The sequence below is a fragment of the Homo sapiens genome, chromosome 14 (assembly GCF_000001405.40).
Source record: "Homo sapiens chromosome 14, GRCh38.p14 Primary Assembly".
NCBI classification, from domain to species: Eukaryota; Metazoa; Chordata; class Mammalia; order Primates; family Hominidae; genus Homo; species Homo sapiens.
The window spans coordinates 75,310,203-75,320,810 of NC_000014.9; positions in this window are offsets into that span (position 1 = coordinate 75,310,203).

The following is a 10,608-nucleotide window of genomic DNA, read 5'->3' on the forward strand; positions in this document are numbered from 1 at the left end:
TTCAAATTAGTCACAAATATTCTGGATTCTTGCTTCTACAGTTATCCGAATAAAAGCAGCAAAACCACCCCAAAATTTGAGGTGAACATTACTTGGATGTCTGTCACCACATTCACCTAAAGCTGTTCCTTAACATCCACATACTTGTTTGTTTTTCTTCCTGGATTTATTTATTTTTGATGTTTCTACACACCTGGACTGCTCTCTGACATGGTATGCTTCTTTCGTTTTATCAAGTAACAGGCTGGCCTTTAGTCACAAGTGTGGCATTCGGGAAGCCAACATGGTTTAGTGATAGGGTTCTTGTTGGGTGTGCAGATTGGGGCATTTCACAGATTATCTGATGCTCAGTCTCTCTATGGGCTCTGCCTTGCCTAAAGGGCAAGTGTGTGTTCATCAAACAGGGCTTCTTTAGGCCTTGTTACTGTGATGGGGGAAATACTCCAAAGTGCCAGGAAACCCTGCCCGGGCAGGGAGCAGGACTTCTCAGTATCCCAGGGATTCGGATCTCAGCCCCCTGCAGCCAATCAGCAAAGGAGCTGTTTCAAACTGACAAGCAAAACAAAGCCCAACAAAAGCAGCTGGAGCCCAAACAAACAGAGTTGGGTGAGGTTGGGAAGGGGAGTCAGGTCTGGCGTCATCCGGCTCCAGGCCAGGCTGTTGCCATGGTGACAGCCAGTCCGTTTACCAGCGGGCAGCAGAGCCAGCTTTCTGAGGGGGAAGCCCAAGGAGGGGAGGAGGAGCAGGGGTGCCCCAGGGGAGCCTGCGCTTCTCCAAGTTACAGAAATCCATAGAGAAGGCTCGGCCACTTCCAGGGAGCAGTGCCTTCTCTCAGGAGCTGGGCAGGCAGCCCGGGGGGCAGTGGGCTGGGAGAAGCCGGCCTGAGAGGGACGGAAGTGTCCACTGAACAGGCAAAGAGGCCTCTGGGAAGGCTAGAAGGCTTTCTGGGCAGAACGGATTTGCAGCTGTGTTGGCTTTCTGGGCAAAAGATGAATTGAAGTAAATCACAGAGTGTTTTAAAATAAAAAACTCCCCCAAACCACACACACACACACACACACACACACACACACACACACACGCCAATGGAGGAGAGAGAGGGCTTTGGGAACCTCAGCGGTGGAACACGGAAATACCTTATATTCTTCTCCAGGAGCATTTTTTTTTCTACTCTGATAATGACAACTCAAGTAATTACCTGCAAGACAAGAAGAATGAACAACAGTCAATGCAAAATGTTAGAAAACATCTGCTTTGCAGGGCTTGTCTATCAAAGCCCGACTCTGTGCCTGAATGGTGTTCAGGTCCCTGAAGGTGGGCCGCTTTAGGATATAGACACTCTTTCTGGCCAACGGGCAATATGAGCCAAAACAAATGCAGTGGAAGAAAGAATCTTGGCATCTTCCTCCAGAAATCTTGCTGCAAAAGTGTCTATCACACAGAAGGAAAAATAGCTTATGATTCTACTCATGTGAGCTTCCTAGAGTAGTCAAATTCAAACAGACAGAAAGTAGAGGGGTGATTGCCAGAGGCCGAGGGGAGGGGAAAATGGGGAGTGAGTATTTAATGAGTATGAAGTTTCAATTTGGGAAGATGAAACATTCTGGAGATGATGGTGATGAGAGTTGCACAACAATGCGAATGTACTTAATGCCACTCAACTGTAGACTTTAAAAGTTTCAAACAGTAAACTTTGTTATGTATATTTTACCATAATAAAAATAAATGTGTCTGTCAGTAAAGACTGTCTTCTTGCTGCAGCAGGAAATGGTGTTGGCTTGAAGGCCAGCATCGAGGGCACGTGGGTTCACCTCTTTGAACCTCAGCTGTATCATCCATCAAATGGAACTTACACTATCTTCCTTACTGCCAACTGTGAAGAGTGGATATGAATGCATTTAGTGAACAGAAATGCACCATAAGAATGTAATTTTTTTTTTTTAATTTGAGATGGGGCCTCCCAAAATGTTGGGATTATAGGCATGAGCCACTGAGCCTGGCCAAGAATATAAAATGTGATTAAAGTATTATTTCAAAATTCATTGTTATGGTACCCAAATGCCAAGAGGCAAAAGGAAAGGAGAAAGGGAGAGTTTTGGAGGAAACTAAGGAAAGGGTTATTTATATCTGGCATTTCTAGGAATTGGAAAATACCCAAATACCGTAGGAGAGTTGGAGAGAATTTTGGGCTCGTGCTCAGGGGCCTGAAGGTAAGACCAACTTGGACTATCATGGCAATTTAAAATACTTCTCCCTTTTGCTCTGCCTAAATTGAGAAACAGGTTAAGCCCACCCATCAAGAGGAAATGAAACAAAATGAAATAATGTCAAAACATCACCTCTCAAATTTCATGAAGGGAAATGGTACAGTTACAACACAATGCTGGGTGGAAGCTTATGGGACCTGGAGCCTCCAGGCATGGGTAGAACCCAGGTTCATCACCAGAGAGTCCCATTAACTGTCAATGATTTATTCAATGCATTTCTTTTTTCTATTTAAAGAAATAAGCCATTGGCCGGGTGCAGTGGCTCACGCCTGTAATCCCAGCACCTTGGGAGGCTGAGGCAAGCAGGTCACTTGAGGCCAGGAGTTCGAGACCAGCCTGGCCAACACGGTGAAACCCTGTCTCTACTGAAAATACAAAAATTAGCTGGGTGTGGTGGTGGATGCCTGTAATCCCAGCTACTCGGGTGGCTGAGGCAGGAGAATCACTTGAACCTGGGAGGCGGAGGTTGCAGTGAGCTGAGATCACACCACTGCACTCCAGCCTGGGCAACAGAGTGAGACTCCGACTCAAATAAAATAAAATAAAGAAATAAGCCATTCATCACTACCATCACTTTTATCATTACAAAATGTTTTATTAGCATATATTAGCATGTGGCAAGCACCAATTTAAATGTGGTACACACCTTATCTTTTCATTCCTTGCAAGGTGCAGCTTTTTTATAGATAACAATATGAGACTCACGATTACTGATTTGGTCTTTCTGGTTCTTTGTTTCCTGATTGATAAAATGAGAATAATGTTATAGCTAGAGAAGTTTAGCAGCTTGCCTCAAGTCACAAAGCTGGTAAGTAGTAATGTCAGGATTTCAACCCAAGTTCATCTGACTCCAAAGTTCCACCTTTGAATGCTATACTGCATTGGAGGAAACATTATTGCTAAGAAGCTTATGAAAGAAAATTGCTAATGAATATTATGCTCTGAGAGCAATTAGAATGTGCAATTGGTAAATCGCCTTATCATGGCATTGCATGATGTCACAATGACATGCAATGGGGAAGAACAATGAGCATCATGGGTGTGTATTAGCAGAGATTTGGCTTTAAAATGGAATGAAACCACAAAGTACACAAAGAACAGAGTATGAGGCTGGGCGCAGTGGCTCATGCCTGTAATCCCAGCATTTTGGGAGGCGGAGGCAGGTGGATCACTTGAGGTCGGGAGTTCAAGACCAGCCTGGCCAACATGGTGAAACCCCGTTTCTACTTAATATACAAAAATTAGCCGGGCATGGTGGTGCACACCTGTAGTCCCAGCTCTTCAGGAGGCTGAGGCAGGAGAATCGCTTGAACTCAGGAGGTGGAGGTAGAGGTTGCAGTGAGCCGAGATCACGCCACTGCACTCTAGCCTGAGCGACAGCACGAGACTCCTTCTCAAAAAAAAAGAAAAAAAGGACAACTTATGAAACAAGGCTTTGCTGCTTTATGTATGTGTACTGTGTATGTTTTGTTGAGTACGTGCTGTATGCTGCACGTGTTGCATGTGTATGTGTGTAACGTGGGTGTTGTGTGTGTGTGGTTGCATAAGTGAAGGAGAGTTGCATGATGAGTGATTTCTTCAATACTGAAGGCCGTACAGTCCCACAGCCAACACATAGTGCTTCCTGTGAGCCAGGCATTCCACCCAGTGTTTTACATATAATCCCTCACTCATCTTCACAACAACTTTGTGCGGTAGCTAGTAACAGTATTCTCATTTAGTGGACGAGGAAATGGAGGCTCAGAAGGATCAAGCATCTTGCCCTAGATCACCTAGATGGTACAAGGGAGAGCTGGGATTTGAACCCAGGCAGACTGGCTTCAAATTCTGTGTTTTGGTCTTTTCTTCATTTGTGTCCCTCTCGCCTTGTGAGAAATGATAGAATTATTCTCATTACATGATGGGAGAACCTGGGAACAATGTGAACATGTGTTGGCTCAGACAACAGTCTCAACTACACACTGGGGAAACGTGGGGAGGCAAACTCGTTTCACTGATTTGTCTCCTCTAAAACTTCTCCCTTTGCTGAATCCCACTTTTTTTCCCCTCTCTTTCTACAGGTGTTGATCCCAACTGTACAACCTGAATGCTGTTCTCAGAGTCACTTCCTGGTAACCCAAACTATGACCCAATAAATATTAGCTACTATCATCATCATCAATAATAATAATTATCATCATCCAAAAGCATTCTAAATAATAGAGAAAATAAGAGAAAGGGGGCAAAGGGGAGAGGTTTCCCTACTAACCAGGAGGGGTGATGATGTAGGGCAATACAGAAAGTCTAGAACAAGAACATGTCTCTGTTTTTTTTTGAGACAGGATCTCGCTTTGTCTCCCAGGCTGGAATGCAGTGGCACAGTCATGGCTCACTGCAGCCTCGACCACCTGGGCTTAAGTGATCCTCCTGCTTCAGCCTCCTGAGTAGCTAGGACTACAGGCATGCACCACCACACCTGAATAATTTTTTTAAAAAAATTTTTAGTAGAGACGAGGTCTCCTTATGTTGCACAGTCTGGTCTCTAACTCCTGAGTTCAAGGAATCCTCCCGCCTTGGCCTCCCAAAGTACTGGGATTACAGGCATGAGCCACTGCACCCAGCCCCCTGTGCCTTTTGAGGAGTGGGAAGAGTTATTAAATAGAGCAGAGGACTCCTTCTCAAATCCCTGTCTCTAGTGACTTCTGTATGGGTTGGAACTGATGGTTGTATCATTCTCTCCCTCCACTATTAAGGGTATAATACATGGTTACACTTTTATCTTGCTATTCAATTTCCTGCTGTGGCTATTCTGGGAATTTGGCCAGCACCTTTCACATATAAAAGCTCAGCTTTAGTGCTGTGAGGAGTTGGTTGGGCAGAAAGCGACAGAGGCTCCTGGTTTTATAGTCATGTGGGGACAAGATTTAGCTTTCCCAAATCTGGGGAGACGTCAACCCTGGTGTTCACAATATGAACCTAGACCCTGGCGAATCCAACCAGGACTTAGCACAGACCTTGTTCAGAGCTTTGCTACAGGAGGAAGTCTGCTTCTGCCCTCCGGCTTTTTAAGCCAAAGGATGGTGATGCAGGAAAGCAGCCTGGCTGTGCTCTTTCTTTGGTGCTGGTGGATTTCAACTGAACCCCACAAGTGTCACTGGAGGGCCCACCATGGACAAACTGTGTGTGTGTGTGTGTGTGTGTGTGTGTGTGAGAGAGAGAGAGAGAGAGAGAGAGAGAGCATAAAATACAGAGATAAAAATGACAGGATCGCTACCCCTGCCATGTTCATAAACAGCAGGCTGCGTGGCACAATGGAGCATGCATGAGAGTTGGAGGCAGACAGACCAGTGCCCCAGTCCTCGGCTGAATCATAGTTCTGCTACTGAAGAATGTGGTTTTATATTAGGGGTGATGCGAAGAACTGTAGGGACCTATGGGTAGGAGATGATAATTCTGGAAAAGAGGAGTGCCTTGTGTTTGCTGCATTCTTGAAGAATTTTTTATATTTGCTTCTGCTCCAGAAAATGAGAAAAATTAAGTACAGAGGCAAGTAACTTATGAGATAGACACAGAATAAGAGGAATTTCTGGGTTGAGTATAGATAAAATGATAAAAGAAATGGGAATGTTAGTTATAGACAGAGGAATAAAAAGACCAAGTAGGCTGGGCACAGTGGCTCACGCCTGTAATCAAACACTTTTGGAGGCCAAGGTGGGTGGGTCACACGAGGCCAGGAGTTTGAGACCAGCCTAGCCAGCAAGACGAAACCCCGTCTCTACTAAAAATACAAAAATTAGCCAGACGTGGTGGCACATGCCTGTAATCCCAGCTACTCGGGAGGCTGAGGCAGGAGGATAACTTGAACCCAGGACATGGAGGTTGCAGTGAGCCGAGATTGTGCCATTGTACTTCGGCCTGGGTGACAGAGCAAGACTGTTTCAAAGAAAAAAAAAAAAAGACCAAGTAAACCCTAAATATTTATAAGGCATAGATCATGTCTTCTCTAGATCAAAGCAATGTCATTTCTAAATTGGCCACCCAGTGGTGACACTCTTAAAGTCCCAGAAACAGGTAAGACCCACGGGTGCTCAGCAGGTTAATTGGGGTGTGGCGGTGTGACCAGGTGTACCTGCCCCCGACTTCCCAGTAGAGCCAGTTTGTATGCTGACTACATACACCTCTGTCCAGCAATTCCCTTTGCATGCCCTCAGTCTCTACCTTTGTAACCACACTGTCAGGTGGGAAGGCTGATGTGGCAGAGGGAGAATCAGACAGGAGAATGTTACGTAACCAAGGATTCAGGGAGGTGATCGTTTCACCTGCTTGCACCTATCCTAGGTGTGTTCACCTGTTCTATCTCTTTGCCCTTGCTTCTTGCTGTGTGTTTATTTATTTATTTATTTATTTATTTATTTATTTATTTATTTTTGAGATGGAGTCTTGCTCTGTTGCCCAGGCTGGAGTGCAGTGGCACGATCTCGGCTCACTGCAAGCTCCGCCTCCCAGGTTCACACCATTCTCCTGCCTCAGCCTCCCGAGTAGCTGAGACTACAGGCGCCCACCACCATGCCTGGCTAATTTTTGTTGTTTTTGTTGTATTTTTAGTACAGATGGGGTTTCACTGTGTCAGCCAGGATGGTCCTGACCTCAGGATCCACCCGTCTCGGACTCCCAAAGTGCTGGGATTACAGGTGTGAGCCACCGCGCCCAGCCTCTGTGTGTTTAAAATGGATTAAATAAGTACCTTAATTTGGTCTTCAAGCCTTCTGTGATCTCTGGGGTAGCCTGCCTGGAAGAGTAGTTGGAGGCTACTACCATTGCCTCAAGGTAATCTTCCAAGGGACAGGGGAGTCTTAGATCAGGCTTCCCGGGAGCAAAGCCAGAGATAGGGATCCTTGTGCCAGTAGTTGATAAGGAAGCTCTCTCTGGAGAAGGTGGTCTGGAGGAAGTGGGTAAAACGAGATAGGATAGGGGAAGAAGTAAAGTAAGGATGAGGCTCAGCTGCAGAATAATCTCAGCCTGGCTCCACCTGGGAGCCCTAGGGGTGTGGAAGGCACTATGGATTGGGGCTTCCTTGAGGCAAGAGGGCCAGCCTTTGTACCTTGTTTTAGGATATGGTAAAGGGGGTCTTGGTGGGACACCAGCAGCATCCCTGACAGGGGATTGGCCTGAACTCCCCTCCCAGGTGAGTAACAGGGGCAAGGGAGAGAAGCAAGAACATGGCTGGGAAAGTGGTGACATTAAGGACTGGAAAGGCAAGGTGCGATATAGTCTGGAGGTGTCTGAAAGTGAGAGAAAGACCCATGAAAGCCAAGTGCAAACTGAGAATAAATTTGCCACACTGATGGTATCAGTGTGGTATCAGTGTGGCTGATGGTATCAGCCTAGGACCAGGCTAGGCCACACTGCAGTAACAAATGAGCCACCAAGTCCATTTCTTGCTCACACTATCTATATGTCCATTGCAGACCAGCAGGGGCCTTTATGCAGTATTGGCAATCAGGGATCTAGGCTGATGGAAGCTCTCACTTGACATGAGCTTCCGCTATTGCAGAGGTGGGGAAGAGGACACTGGCTCTGGAAGCACGCATTTTTTTTTTTTTTTTGAAATGACATGGGTGTCACTGCTGTTCAGATTTCATTGGCCAATTCCAAGGCCAGGAAGCCATAGGGAGCCACGGTGTGTTCTTGAGCATGTGTGGGATTTGGAGCAGTGTGTAGGAAGAGTCAGATGACCATGGCATGTGCTGGGAGGAGCTGCTGGCAAGGAGAATAGCTGGGACCGGTCTGTGCAGTAATACACTTGAAGCATCTTTCCCCTCTGAGACCTTTGGGCAACTCTGGTAAGAAGGCTACTTATCAGGGTCTAGTTTTTGCAGCCATCAGCCTCGTTCTGCAGGAAGAGGAACCAGTTCTATGTCCTCAGGAGGGAAGCCTCACCAAGCCAGGACCAGGAGTTGGAAGAGTGGGGAGGGCTGCATTGCTGAAGGCCCTCCCTCAGTGAACACCTCATAAAAAGTTCTGCAGCTGATCTAGGCAGGCTGCAGAGGGCTGAATACTGCCAGAATTGTGCACACTGAGCTGGCTCCACAGGCAGGGTTACCTGATCTCTAAGTCATGCTGGACTTTGAAGCCTCAGGCTTTTATTGGAGGTGCTATGACCACCTGGTCAGCTACAGGCTGAAGATTCCTGGCATCAGAAAAAGCCAGTCTCCAGTCAATGCTCCTTCCTCAGTGTGGAGGTTTGATTGTCCATCAAAACCTCAAGGGCAGTGGTTCTTTAACTTCAGCATGCAAAAGACTGCCTGGAGTGCTTTCTAAAAGTGCAGACTTCTGGGACCCATCACCCTGGGGTGGGCGTGGGGGTGGGGGAGTTTGCATTTTAAATAAGCACACAGGTAACTGGGAACAGGTGGTCCAAGGATCATGCTTGGGGATAGAGAAGGTTCATCACTTACTTATTCAAATGTAACAGCCCTATGAAGTAGGCAATGTTATTTTCATTGTCATTCTCAATTTGCAGATAGATAAAATTAGGTTTAAGGAGATTAACTAAACTGCCCAAGGTCAGAGAGTTAGTAAATAACAGAACTGGATTTCTAACCCACTGAATTACAGCCTGTGCTGCTATCTAAGATCTGGAGAAAGCAGTAGGGAAACTGGTGGGCTGCGTGTATGTGTGGGCTTACTGCCTGACATTCCCCAATATGAGCCTCTATTTTAGCCATGCTAATGATATCAGTTAGGACCAGGCTAGGCTATGCTGCAGTAACAAATGAGCCACCAAGTTCGTTTCTTGCTCACACTATATGTCCATTGCAGACCAGCAGGGGTCTTTATGCAGTATTGGCAATCAGGGATCTAGGCTGATGGAAGCTCTCTCTTGACATGAGCTTTCACTATTGCAGAGGTGGGGAAGAGGACACTGGCTCTTGAAGCATGCAATTTTTTCTGGAAATGACATGAGTGTCACTGCTGTTCAAATTTCACTGGCCAAGTAAGTTCCATGGCCATGACTGAGTTAGTCAAGGTGTAGAAATGTAAACTTTTTAAACTTTATTATTTATTTTTATTTTTGAGACAGAGTCTTGCTCTGTCATCCAGACTGGAGTGCAGTGGCACGATCTCAGCTCATTGCAACCTCTGCCTCCCGGGCTCAAGCAATTCTCCTGCCTCAGCCTCCTGGGTAGCTGGGGTTATAGGCACCTGCCACCATGCCCAGCTAATTTTTTGTATTTTTAGTAGAGACAGGGTTTCACCTTGTTGGCTAAGCTGGTCTCAAACTCCTGACCTCAAGTGATCTGCCCGCCTTGGCCTCCCAAAGTGCTGGGATTACAGGCGTGAGCCACTGCGCCTAGCCAGAATGTAAACATTAATATAGTTCCCCATACCAACCAACTCATAAGACCCTAAATGTATCTCATTCTCTCGTCTTTGCACATGCTATCCCATCTCTCTCAAATGTCCTGTCACTGCTTCTCAGCTAGGCTAGCTCGACTGAGCATCATATTCTACATCACCTGCCATCAGCGCTGGGCAGCCTTTCCAAACCCACCCAGGCTGGATTAGATGCCCCTTCCTCCATCCCCCCAGAGGATCCTGGGCTTATTTCTACTACAGCATGTGTCATGTTGCATTGCAACTTTTAATTTCCTTGTCTGTCCCCCAAGCTCACTGGACTATGGGCTTCTGGGGATGGGAATACAGAGTGTCAGGCCTTGTACCTCTAGCCCCTGGAAGGCAGGAGATTTACACGAGCCTAGGAGCAGAATGGCAGAGTCCCTAATAGCTGGATTCTGGACCTTGCAGGAGCTGTTCTCCTTTTCCTACCGGGGCAGGATGTCTAGGGGCTTTAGAAAATGGGGAAGAGGAAGGTGAGGATATTCTGTGGCTTTAGGATGAGCCAACTGCAGACGGAGGAAGAAAACTCCCCGTTACAGAAGGAGTGGAATTTTTCCAAGGCTTCATTGCTCCACCATGGAAAGACTTGTCCAAACCCTAGTTAGTCACTGCCCGGAGCCAGCTGTGTCACCGTGGGGTGAACTTCAAGGGTCCAAGGAGAGGACATGCCGCAGCTGGGGGAAAATCTTGGCTGTCCTCAATTGGGAGCCCCTGATACCCATTTAAGGTAATTGTTGGCAAAGGAGCAGGTGTTCATGGCCTCCTCAGAGGCAGCCTTGCTTGAGTCCTGTCATGCCACAGCCTCTGTGTCCTTGGGAAGACTGTTTGGGGTCAAGAACGGGGGATCAAGATCTGTTCAGCAGGGGCATCTGACTCCGATGTGGGGATTAGTTGCTGGGTACCCACACCTGGGGTAACCACAGAGGAGAGGCAAAGAAGCCCAGAACCGTGCTTGGGACAG